General features: G+C 40.2%; 1 protein-coding gene and 1 long non-coding RNA gene across 18 annotated transcripts in view, besides 2 other annotated features; one reads left to right on the plus strand and one right to left on the minus strand.

Annotated features, from left to right (window-relative positions):
* BDNF-AS (BDNF antisense RNA) overlaps positions 1-11229 on the plus strand; it is a 191320-nt gene extending 180091 nt beyond the window's left edge. For 2 of the 3 annotated variants that reach the window (NR_033315.1, NR_033313.1), the window contains one exon: positions 10536-11229. This is a non-coding gene — a long non-coding RNA (BDNF antisense RNA). Of the gene's footprint in view, positions 1-4163; positions 4199-10535 lie in introns of all 3 variants that reach the window. The other variant, NR_033312.1, reaches the window with a different exon arrangement.
* BDNF (brain derived neurotrophic factor) overlaps positions 1-13180 on the minus strand; it is a 67138-nt gene that overhangs the window by 32050 nt on the left and 21908 nt on the right. Inside the window, exon 1 of one of the 15 annotated variants that reach the window (NM_170734.4) lies at positions 12440-12725. Coding sequence (NP_733930.1) covers positions 12440-12463 — 24 coding nt within the window. The 5' untranslated portion in view covers positions 12464-12725. 15 annotated transcript variants of the gene reach the window in all.
* Positions 432-1339: an enhancer, noted in NCBI's record as "NANOG-H3K27ac-H3K4me1 hESC enhancer chr11:27708921-27709828 (GRCh37/hg19 assembly coordinates)". NCBI's record gives its function as "activates a minimal SCP1, AML or CMV promoter by ChIP-STARR-seq in primed H9 embryonic stem cells {active_cell/tissue: H9 hESC(primed)}" and the evidence as "EXISTENCE:reporter gene assay evidence [ECO:0000049][PMID:30033119]".
* Positions 1340-2245: an enhancer, noted in NCBI's record as "NANOG-H3K27ac-H3K4me1 hESC enhancer chr11:27709829-27710734 (GRCh37/hg19 assembly coordinates)". NCBI's record gives its function as "activates a minimal SCP1, AML or CMV promoter by ChIP-STARR-seq in primed H9 embryonic stem cells {active_cell/tissue: H9 hESC(primed)}" and the evidence as "EXISTENCE:reporter gene assay evidence [ECO:0000049][PMID:30033119]".

The raw sequence follows: 13180 nt of genomic DNA on the forward strand, positions 1-13180 counted from the left end.
TGTTGGCTTGTCTTGCTAGTTTGGGGAAGTTCTCCTGGATAATATCCTAAGGAGTGTTTTCCAACTTGGTTCCATTGTCCCCGCCACTTTCAGGTACACCAATGAAATGTAGGTTTGGTCTTTTCACATAGTCCCACATTTCTTGGAGGCTTTGTTCCTTCCTTTTCATTCTTTTTTTCTCTAATCTTGTCTTCATGCTTTATTTCATTAAATTGATCTTCAATCTCTGATATCCTTTCCTCTGCTTTATCGATTCAGTTATTGAAGCTTGTGTATGCTTCACAGAGTTCTCGTGCTGTGTTTTTCAGCTCCATTAGGTCATTTATGTTCTTCTCTAAACTAGTTATTCTAGTTAGCAATTCCTCCAACCTTTTTTCAAGGTTCTTAGCTTCTTTGCATTGGGTTAGAGCATGCTCCTTTAGCTTGGAGGAGTCTGTTTTTACCCACTTTCTGAAGCATACTTCTGTCAATTCATCAAACTCATTCTCCATCCAGTTTTGTTCCCTTGCTGGCAAAGAGTTGTGCTCCCTTGGAGGAGAAGAGGCATTCTGGTTTTTGGAATTTTCAGCCTTTTTGTGCTGGATTTTCCTCATCCTTGTGGATTTATCTATGTTTGATCTTTGATGTTGGCGACCTTTGTACGGGGTTTTCGTGTGGACATCCTTTTTGTTGATGTTGATGCTATTCCTGTTTGTTAGTTTTCCTTCTAACAGTCAGGCCCCTCTGCTGCAGGTCTGCTGGAATTTGGTGGAGGTCCACTCCAGACCCTGTTTGCCTGGGTATCACCAGCAGAAGCTGCAGAACAGCAAAGACTGCTGCCTGTTCCTTCCTCTGGAAGGTTTGTCCCAGAGGGGCACCCACCAGATGCCAGCCAGAGCTCTCCTGTATGAAGTGTCTGTCGACCCCTGCTGGGAGGTGTCTCCCACTCAGGAATCACGAGGGTCAGGGACCTGCTTAAGAAGGCAGTCTGTCCCTTAGCAGAGCTCAAGTGCTGTGCTGGGAGATCCACTGCTCTCTTCACAGCCAACAGGCAAAGAACATTTAAGTCTGCTGAAGCTGGGCCCACAGCCACCCCCTCTCCCAGGTGCTCTGTCCCATGAGATGGGAGTTTTATCTATAAGCCCCTGACTGGGGCTGCTGCCTTTCTTTCCCAGATGCCCTGCCCAGAGAGGGAGAATCTAGAGAGGCAATCTGGCTACAGGGGCTTTGCTGAGCTGTGGTAGGCTCCACCCAGTTCAAACTTCCCAGTGGCTTTGTTTACATTGTGAGAGGAAAACAGCCTACTCAAGCCTCAGTAATGGCGGATGCCCCTCCCCCGACCAAGCTGGAGCATCCCAGGTTGACTTCAGGCAGCTGTGCTGGCAGTGAGAATTTCAAACCAGCAGATCTTACCTTGCCGTGCTCCATGGGGGTGGGATCTGCTGAGCTAGATCACTTGGCTGCCTGGCCTTCAGCCCCTTTCCGGGGGAGTGAATGGTTCTGTCTCACTGGAATTTCAGGTGCCACTGGGGTATGAGAAAAAACTCCTGCAGCTAACTGGGTGTCTGCCCAAATGGCCACCCAGTTTTGTACTTGAAACCCAGGGCCCTGGTGGTGTAGGCACCCAAGGGAATCTCCTGGTCTGCCGGCTGCAAAGACTGTAGGAAATGTGTAGTATCTGGGCCAGATAGCACTGTCCCTCATGGCACAGTCCCTCAGGGCTTCCCTTGGCTAGGGGAGGGAGTTCCCCTGACCCCTTGCGCTTCCTGAGTGAGGCAATGCTCCACCCTGCTTTGGCTCACCCTCCATGGGCTGCACCCACTGTCTAACCAGTCCCAATGAGATGAGCCCGGTACCTCAGTTGGAAATGCAGAAATCACCCACCTTCTGCATTGATCTCTCTGGGAGCTGCAGACTGCAGCTGTTCCTATTTGCCATCTGGCCAGCCACCTAATATTTCTAATCATTCACTTAGCAAGAGTCTCAGGTTTAAGTAAAATTATAACTAAGTTACTAAGGAACAATACATCAAAAGTCATATATTCATTTTTCCCTCTAAGAGTTTTTTCTTTTTTAAAAAAATTAAATTAAAAAACTCCTTGGAAAAAACATTTTTAATCTTCCCATTACCACTTTATTCCTTGGCACACAGAAGGGTACCAGTCTCTGCTGGAGACAAAGGTGGACAGTAGGCCAGGGTGACAATATCAGCCTGTTCCTGCTCCAGGTCTCACATTAATGCATCAAGGGCAAGATATGGTTTCTTACTTGAATACTGCAGGTTTTGGTTATAGACAGCTGGAGTGGTGGTAAGGGGACTAGGTTAGGTGAAGTCACTGGGCTATCATCCTTGCTCTGGTTCTACAGCTGTGCATTTTGGATTGCTATTTAGCTTCTCTAAGCTCCAGTTTCCTCCTCTGTTATATAGAAATAATGTCTGCCAATCTTTTTTATAGAGTTATTTGTAGGATCAAATGGAATGAGATATGTGAATGCATTTTAAAAATGTATGGAATACCACACATTTGGACAAGATTATTATTGAAGTGTGCAATCTTGTCTACATGACAAGTGAAATCACGTAGGAATCGTAGTAACAACAAACCAGCTGAATTTTGGTCTCAGTACCAATGCCTACTGGGGCACTGCAGTAGAGCAAGTTTTCCTAACACCTCATGGAACAGTGACAGTGAAGGTTCTCCTAGGTTTTTATGTGAGACTGCCTGAAGAGCAATTACAGGCTCTGGAACAATAGATGCTACTAAGTTTATTTTATTTTATTATTATTTTTTATTTTACTTTAAGTTCCGGGATACATGTGCAGAATGTGCAGGTTTGTTACATAGGTAAATATGTGTCATGGTGGTTTGCTGCACCTATCAACCCATCACCTAGGTATTAAGGCTCGCATGCATTAGCTATTTGTCTGTTTGTCCTGACGCACTCTCTCCCTTCCCCTGCCCCCTGCTCCAGGCCCCAGTGTGTGTGGTTCCCCTCCCTGAGTCCATGTGTTCTCTCTGTTCAGCTCCCACTTATGAGTGAGAACATGCAGTGTTAGGTTTTCTGTTCCTGGCTACCAAGTTTAAGAAAGTCATTGTCAGGGATGTGAAAATCAGAAAAATAATCTGGTATTTTAGGAAAAGCACTTAAAATAAATTGTATTAATGACACCACATTTTAATGATTAATAAAATACTTGATAAGGCAATCCTGTATTAATATTCAACCATTTATACATGATTATTTCTAAACATTATACAATGCAAAAAAATTCACATGTTTAAAGAAGTATCTACTTTATCAGGTACCATTTGTGAATACTCTCAACAAGCAGGTGAATACAACTCTCAATGCAAGTGAATATACACAGAAATGGGCAGCAGGATGGTCATTTGCCTGTCTGTCTTGCTTGGGAGTAAAAGAGAAGGCTAGGAACATGGCTGTAGGTTTGGTACTAGAAGAAAAGTGGGACCTATTCCGACTTCCTGATCCTGTGATTTTTTTCTTTTTTTGAGATTCACACACACACACACACACAAACTATGCACAAGTTTGCTTCCATGTTGTATAGCAAGAGTTTAAATATTTCTGAGTTAATGATGCCAAACTGTGCTCCGATTATATCAGCATATTTACATGATCCTTGAACACCACATATAGATTCCTATACTACACATTTAAGCAAAATCACCTCCTGACTTCACAATGAAAGAGACCTATTGGATTAAAAAGTGGTTTCTAGTAAACCCCAAAGAGATACTGTTACTAAATTACTAAATTTAAAGGCAAAATAGTATTCACTAAACTGATTTTTCTGTCTTATTTTCCTTATTTGGCATAATCATTAACCAACTTCTAGTAAATGGAAGCATTCTCACAATTTAAGTTTTTTTAGGGGGAAACACACAATTTATAAATACTGTCAAGTGAAGAACAGATTCCTGAATACTAAAAGACCCATGCATATCCTTGTATGTAAAAAAAAAAAAAATCCATCATAAAATCATAGACTCAAACACCATCTTTGATTCAGTAGTTCTCCCTCTACTGTGGCTTCTGCTATAGAGTCATTGTTAAAAAGAGTTCTTCATGAAAGATTCTCACATAGCAAAATGCTTTAAGAAAATGTCTAACAAACATTTTTATTGTCTCAATTTGTACACAAACTGACACCTGAAAATCAGAGAGGATAAAGAACTTCAATCTTTAAAAAAGAGAGGTAAGTTATTCCAAAATGCTACCAGTCAATAATTAAAAATACAGTTTGGGGGCAAGAAGTTCTGAAATAACTCAGAGAACTTGCTCAAGATTTTACTTTTGGACCAGTCCTCTTTGGGAGGGAGTATGTGAATAGGTAATGAAAGCCTTATATGAGAGAGTCAATGGAGAGCCATATCAAGGAGCACCTGAAGATATATGGATCAATACAGGGAAAAGAAATCCAAGTAGCCCAGTGCCTGACACTCACTGGGCACTCAATTAATGCACGGTGAATTAACAAATGAATTAATGAAAGAACCATTTGCTACATATAACATTCTTACTTTAAGAAAAAAGAATTTGAAACAGAAGAAAACATACACGCAAGAACACATACAAACTATAAACTATATGATATCCTAAAGGAGATGTAAATATTAAACTGTTTGCTTTGCTGACTGACACTATTAATACCTAAAAGCAGTATGAGAGATCACAAAGAATAAGTACTCATTCATACTTGGAGTGGGCTGCTCATCTTATGGTCTAACTTGCATTTTATGTCATGGCCATGTTGCTTAATCTCCAGCTGTTCTACAGAAGAGCAAAATAAGTTATAAATAAATTATTAAAGAAAAAAAGTAACTCTATCCATGCTGAGGCCTGAGGGAGTTGGGGGAGGAGTCAATTCCTTTTAGTTTATATTTAAAAAGAGAAACTCTTTGGAAAACTGTAATATCTGAAGATTTTGTGGTTTCCAAAAGTGAAGGTGAACGGTGAGAAGTTTTCTTAGTTTAGCTACTGAACCCTAAAAAAATATAACCTCAAAAGTTAATTTCTTAAGCAATTTGGGCACCTGAATTTGATAAGAACTTTTTTTTCCAGACATTCTGTTCTGTCTAACCCAAAGGAAAAATAGCCAATTTTGAGAATCTGTATACAAATAAGGAAAAGTAAAATACAGCGCTTTGCAAAGAAATGGGAGGGATTTCTGATACTCAATTCATGATGCTAAACACTTCAAGTAGATGATTCAAAGGCAGAAATATATAACTGTTCTCATTAGGATTGTTTATGGACTATAAATAAGGAGCAGACTTATGGCCAATGCATTAGAAAAAAACAAGTACAAAGGCACTTCAGAAAATACCTTACTCCAACCTCCCATTTTAGTGTCATTTCTAAAAGGGTTTCATTTCAGCCTTCCTACCTTTCTTCCTTCCTTCCCTTCCTTCCCTCCAACGGGGTCTCACTCTGTCACCCAGGCTGAAGAGCAGTGGGACAATCACGGCTCACTGCAGCCCCAACCTCCTGGGCTCAAACGATCCTACTGCCTCAGCCTCCCAAGTAGCTGGGACTACAAGTGCCTGTCACCAGGCTTGGATAATTTTTTTTGTCTTTTGTAAAGATGGGGTCTTGCTATGTTGTCCAGACTCGTAATGATCTCCTGGGCTCAAGTGATCCTCCCACCTCAGCCTCCCAGAGTGCTGGGATTACAGGCATGAGCCACCACACCAGACCTCTTTTTTCTTTATTATATATTCCTCTAATAAAGTGCTCTGTATGCAGTGAGCATTCAATATTTGCTAAATTAAATTAATGGAAAGTTTTCTAACTACCATGTAGAGTATCTAAATTTACATCATTGGTTCTAGAACTGCTGTCTGAAGCAACACAAATTACACTTATGACAGTTCGTCAAATCTTTGAAGCCCATCCTCAAAATAAGGATGTCAAAAATACATCACACATGTTGACACTCTAATCTCCCAGCCACAGTAGGCATTAGCAATCTGAATGTTATTTTTACTAATCCTTCACAGTTTTAGAATTCTTCTCAACCCAACATTCAAAAACCACTTGCCATTCCAGCCTAAGTTTTCTTGTCCCTAAGTCATGCATTCCAAGTCCCCTCAACCATTGCTCACATGCAATGCTTTCAAATTCCCTATGCATCCTGGTCACAGTGATTTGAATGTACACTAATTTATCGATGATGTACCTAAAACAACTTATTTCATTTCCTTGAACTGATGATAATATTCTAGATACAGTCTATTTAAAAAGTGAAGAATTATTAGCTTCTCCATTTCAGTATTATATTTCTAGCAGTGCAGCCCAAAATTTCAGTAGCTATGATAACAGCCTCTTGTCACACCACTGGCTTATACTGAACTTGCAGTTAATTTAAAACATTCAAGCTTCCTTTCTACAATCTGCTGATAAGTCATCCCCTAAAACCGTGCCCGCAACTCTCTATTCTCTCCTAAATTGATTTTTTTGTACTTAATCATAGTATTTTACATTTAAGTAAATGTAAATGATCCAGATTCTATCATTCAACAGAATGTCTGCAATATCTGCTGGCTTTATGTTTCATATGATAAGCATATCGTCTGTGCCTTCAGACACATTATCAGCCAACATGTCGGTGCTGGATGTATTTTCCCAATGTTGCATAAGAGGAATACCTTCGAGAGTTTGGCCTAGGAATGTGGCCTGGGACTCCGCCAAGCATCTCTCTCCAGCAAAATGACTGCAAATTTCTCGACCTTCAGATTCTACATGATGTAAAAGAAGTTTGTCTGTGTTTAAAAACACATTCAAGAAATAAGTGAACATGTGAAAAGACAGAAAAACTTGTTTTAATTTGGGCATAGTTTCAGTTTTCAAAGGCACATGAAGGCAGAAAGAAAGAATCACAAAATGGAACTACTGATGATAGCAACTCCAAAACCAAGACTGATTAGACTAAATCCCATGTGGCAAAAATTTTATTTAGTAAGTTTCCTTCTCCCTCTCTCCCTTTAGATATATGTGCATACACACACACGCACCTTTATTTTAGTAATTTTTTTTTTCTGAAAAAGAAAGTTTTCTGCACCTGATTGCTTCCATGAATAACACAAAGCACAAACAATATGACTTTCTTTGGTTATCATGCAATTTTTTCTCTGCTTACCAGAAATTGGCACAAATTTAAGATATACTATATTCTACTCCCTGAAGCACAGTCGCTGGCATCTCCACTGGCATTTAAAAATTTGAAGACATTTAAAAGAAAATCCACAAGCTTATAGTTGCTGTCTAAATCAACTTTAACATTTCATATATTCACAATTTCATAAGTGAATCAAATTACACATAAGAAATTATAGAACTAAGCCAACTAAATGACTTTTATAATAGGTACTGGGGAAAAATATTATTAAACCTTTTCCTCCAATTTCTGCCTTTCTTCCAGCAAGACAAACCATTTTCATGAAGTTTCTGTCTACATCACTAGTGATAATCTGAAGCAGCCATTAATCAATCTATTAGTGCATTCAGCAACATTTATCAAAGTGCCTCCCCAGAACTGTTTTGGATGCTGTTGTGGGCGCATGCAAAAATGAACTAAATATAGATTTTTGTCATCCAAGAATTTTAAGTCAATTTGTAATTATTGGTTCCTGGTTCCATAACTTTTTTTTTTTTTTTTTTTGGTGCTGGCTCAGATGTATACCTTCATCTATTCTAAGGTTAAGGCAATCCTTATAATTTTCTTCCTTTTTCTTGTTTGTTTGTTTTTTGTGTGTGTGTTTAAAATCTTGCTTATATTTGACTTTATTTTATTCTCACATCTTCTGAGTACATTAAAGTTAAAGGTAGATCATAAATCGAAAACATTCTTAAAGGTCTCTCTACTCAAATTATTTGGTGTTATTGTATCTCAGAAAGTATAATGAATTGCCTGTAGCAAATAAATAAAATCAGAACCTTTATACTCAATGGTTCGGTTTGGTACATATCCATGAAAATAATAAATGTTAAAAAGGATGCTAGCCGTTGATTCCTGGCATGCTATTCTACATTTGGCTACATTACAACGTTAAAAGGATTTAGTGCATATATCAAATTGTGGATCTGCTTGTTTTAAAATTTCATCTGTAATTCCACATGCAACCCCCACCCCCATACACACTCACAAGATCTGAATATGGTAACAAGGAAATCCTAGTAACTGTAGCGTTGGAAAAATGGTTCATATGGAAATAAGCCATTTGGCTAGTAAAGCTGGTGATTTTGTTCTCTAGGTGGCACTATTACTTCAATTTTTGGTGAGTTGCTTAAATTACTTGGAACTGCCCGTTTATTTTCTTTGAATTCCCATTTTATAAATTTTAATTTTATACAAGCTAGTTGTAATTAAACGACAGGTTGCCTTCTAGGTTTTATTTCAGTAAGTCAATTTGAAGTTCAGTGATTTTTTATCATATAATTTTATGTTTCCTTACTATACTGTCTTAGTTTTAAGAAATCCTCCCTTGCCTGACCTCCTCTCTCCAAAAATGCAGAGGCATGTCAAAAACACAGAGGGTCGTCATAAAGTTTCCGTCAGACCAAAGGAACCAAGATGAAAGCATGTTTAAGAGCTACTAGGTTCTGGGAGATTTCAAAATCAGGACATTACTACCATGACAACCAATGAAAAGTTCTTTCAAGTGAACCTTTGGGGAAAACTATATAACGTTCCTTACTCTCTAGGCTCTCTGGAAATAAACTTTTACTTTATTATGGCTGTCACTAAAGCTTGTAAATTTACTTTGCTTCCTTCCAATCGTTCTCCTGTCCCACACTCAGCCCCCTAACTCACTTAATGCAACCCATCCTCAAACATCAATCTATAAATGAGACATCAGGGCAATGAGCCACTTCTTAGCATCTAGTATATTTGATAAGATTTGTCTCATCAAGAGGATAAGTGCCCTAGAGCTTCTACTTGAACTTAAATACTTAATTTAAATGAAAGCTTCCACACTTATCTGACCAGATACTCAAATTTTTCTACAGAAAAGAGAATACCTTCCTGTTCCACTTAAAGAACACACACATTTACCACTCCCCCTCCTCTCCCCTGCAAAAGGTTTTCAATGTCAGTACATTAGTGAGCTCCATTTTGCATCTGCCATCAATAATGATTCCATATAGTCAATAATTGGGTTCATGACCTTTCTAAATCTTTACAGTGTAAATATTCTGGAAATCCAGTGAGGCACTTAAGTATAAAATTATTTAGGATTAAATAATTCTATGCCTTAAGTAGAAGTTTAAGAGGACGTTTAGGACACACATGACTAAGCCTACAAATACCAAAGCCACTCTATGTTTCCTAGGTTTAAATACCACATGCAAATAACATACGGATTTCATTTGCCAGCATCATTTATTGCCTAACATTACTCCATACTAAACAGAGTAAATGGATGCAGAGTGTAACCAGTAAGTTTGCTCATTCACTTTTGAAGCTCATCTGTGCATGTTATTCATCCTAATAAAGAAAATTTATCACAACACAACTTGATGCGATTCTTGTTCAAATGATTTCCTCTTCCATTGAACAACAGCCAGCACTTAAAACCTAGAATTCCACAGAATTCTCTCCTCGATTCCTCTTTAAAATGCAATTCACAGTTTGAGATCACAGAGCCTGCCAGTGGCTGAATGGCTGCACTAGATGGCTGAGAGTCCTTCAATTAAGCAACAATTTTGCAATTAGTGGAAACTGAGTGCTCTATAACAATTGTTTGAAAACAAGTTGAGACAAGTTAGCAATTACCCTATAAAAGGGACATATTCACTTTTGTTGGATAGGCGAGACCCCTCACACAAATTGAACTCTTCCACACAGGGAGATGCAAGTTGAAAATTAATGTTTTAATCACTAAAATCAAATCCATATTATGGGCACCTGAAATGGGAGTGCCTTTCTTCTCAAAAGATATTCAGAGTTTAGCTATCATCCACTCTCTATGCTGTCTGTTTTTATTCAGGAAGTCTGAAATTGTTCTTCTGTACTCCGGGATTAATTTCCTACATCTCAAAATGTTAATAAACTACTTGAACATGACCTTTCCATTCTGTAAATTTCCTTAAGAGTAAGTCTACGATTGAGACCCAAAGCTGCTGGCTGTGTTATATTTCACAGTTCACAGTTCTCTCTCTCTCTCTCTCCCCCTCTACACACACGCGCACGTGCACGCACACACACACACACACACACAGAGAGAGAGAGAGAGAGAGAGAGAGAGAGAGCACCCCAGGTTTTAGAAGATGAATGTAAAAAGAATGTAAACAAGTTCTCTGCTATACTATCAGGTGGGCGTGCCCAGCTCACTGTGCGTGCTGAACTACAAACCAGTGCTATTCATATAAGAAATGATATCAATCATCTACATTTTGACTATTGAAAAGCTGGGACTCTTAAAGATTCCAGGAAAAAGGGAATAGCTTACATTTTCATGGCGCCCCTTTTAAACAGGAAACCCACGGACTTTGAGCCAGGATTTTAGAAATTTGCATTTCTTTTTTTACAGGATTTTCCCTCCTGGTGAGTCAAAATGAACAAGAAATACCCCAGGACCTCCCTTCCCTCCTTGGCCATTAATGAGATGAAGGCAATTAACTCACATAGTATAAATGAATCATTTGAGGTGATGACTGCATTTTAGGCAAATGATGACTTTCTTGGTTCCATTGGTTTGCAAGTAAAAGTTACACACATTGAAAAGACACTGAAACAGATTTCCTAAATGCTTCATTTTCTGGATGCACCAATGTTGACCTACTATACATGTTAAATGGTTTTAAAATATCACCTTAAAATAAAGGAAACTTCCAGCTACTAACTCAGCTCTGAATGGGCTATGAAAGGCTCCAAAGGTATGTGAAAAATTACTGTTATTTTGCTTTAAAAAATGTGATGTCTAAGAGTGTCTGCAATGTTCTAATGCTTCAAAACATGTACGTAAGCCTTGTTTATCTGGAAATCATTTCTTTCTGCTTATATCATTTATAAATAGAAAATGTTCTGTAATAACTTAAAATAGTTCCACATACATAATGCTTTTAGTGTCATAATACTTACTACTGGTCTATATTTACCAACATTTATCACATTTTACAAAATGAAGTAGAAGAAAAAAAAGACAACGACTTTATGGCCCTGGAATTCCAGTAATGGTGACCAACATGTTTTAAATTCCAGTAAAGGTTATGGTTACATTTCAACAAGTGTCTCTTTCCTTTTTTTTACCTCTCCTGCTAACCCAGAGGTAAATTTCCCAAAAAAAAAAAAAAAAAAAAAAAAAAAAAAGTCTTAAGCAAGGCATTTGCAAAATCAGAAAACAGGAACAGGAGTTTAGTGATTGTTTTTAAAAGGTGCTGTTCCCAGGGTCAAAACTTTGTGGTGTAATTTCAACATGCTATGTTACCTATTATGTGTAATGCCTTGAAACGCTACATGCCATAACATCAGAAATCTCCAACCTAAAAATTATGTTGCATGAGATAAGCATTGAAGGCACACACGTTCATACAAATTAAATCTGTAATTATGCCTCAATAAGTTAAAATGTAAAGACATATCAAATTGTAAGACCAAAATGGCTTTTGACCTTACAACAAACTCATATAAAAATAGATTTTTCCATAATAATAAAGGGGAGAGAGAGATTTTGCAGGATATTGAGTCAGTAGGGAGGGGTCTCATTTAATATCATGTCGCCTTTTATATGCAGTTAGAAAATCAACGTTCCCAATTACATATTACTTTGCTTTAAAAGATTACTAGGAGGATTAATAAACACTCAGAAATATGCCTTTCTTTGCTTCTGGCCAAGAACATTCCTGCGTGCTTGTCGGAAAATGTTCTTTGGTTGCTACTGACATTAAGGAGTAAGTGCAGGATAACTAGAGGACCCTAAAATAAGATCCAAGAAGCCCTAACACACCGCCAATCGAGGCTTATCAAAGCTCCCCCAGCGCGAGGAAAACTTGCATAGAAGCCAAACAAGAACGAGGAGTCAAAATCCACCGACGACGAGTCGCACGCCCCACCGAGCTGGAGTCAGCAGCACCATTCAACAAGTCCCTCCTACCAGCTCTCTAAGGGATCCCGCAAAACCTTCCTTTACCACTTCCCCACCCCCAGCCTCCCGCCCCCAGTAGCTGCTCTTGGCAGCATGGCCGGCAGAGGGCACCCTCTACCTTCCCTAGCTTCGTTCTCTGGGTCCCCTCCTCCTCCTCGCCTCCCCTCCACCCCGGTCCCTCATCCCCGCTCTACCCCCAACACACAAACACTGCATCCTCCAGTTCACCCTCGCAGCCCCGAGGCTTCTTCCTTAGGGATGCCCCTAGTCTGTAATCTCCCCTTCTTCTTGCCCGTCAGGCACAGAGCCCCCAATCCTCAGCTATTTCTTTCCAGGAGTAACTCACTCACCCATTCCTCTTCCCGGCTCTGCATCCCCAGAGACTAACCCGAGTCAAGAATCCCCCACGTACATCCCAACCACTCCCCGAAAGTCAAAACTCTTAACTTCCCTGGAGGGCGCTTCAGAAGAGGGGCGCAGGATGGGTAGAGATGTGGGTTCGGCCTGCCCGAGAGTGTCGCAGACCCTTTCAGTTCCCAGCGGTAGGAATTCCGCCTCCCAAGTTTTCCAAGCTACATTGGCTTCGGACTTGTAAGTCCACTTCAGTCTCAATTCCTGGGGAGCAGGTAGCCGTGTGCAGCTCCGGGGAAGGGATGCGGGCTGAAGGCGCAAGCTTCCCTCCCACTCCCCCCGCAAGTCGGCGCGGGGACCACCCACCCCCTGGAAGGATTCCTAGCCTAGCCCCAGCACCCTCCCCTCAGTCAGGACCCTCGACAGCTCTGGCCCCCTAAGTCTCTCTCGACTACTCCTGGGCTGGGGGAGGGCTGCGAGGGATCCCCGGGTCGCCGTCTTTGCTCCCATCACGCAGCTCTGGGTCTCCTCCAGGCCTTCCCTCCTCTACTTCGTGACTTCCCCGGGTCCCTTTTTCCCTGGTGGTGCCGGCTGACCTTCTGGGTTGTGGGATGGGGGAGAAAACTCCCCAAGAGTAACTCCAAATCGTCCCTTCTACCGGAGGGGAGGAAAGAAGGAGACTGGCCTCGTCCCACAACTTTGGGGTGGGGGATCCCCCAGTCAACTCTCTCCCGCGGACG

Source organism: Homo sapiens, chromosome 11 (genome assembly GCF_000001405.40).
Source record: "Homo sapiens chromosome 11, GRCh38.p14 Primary Assembly".
In the NCBI taxonomy this organism is placed as follows: Eukaryota; Metazoa; Chordata; class Mammalia; order Primates; family Hominidae; genus Homo; species Homo sapiens.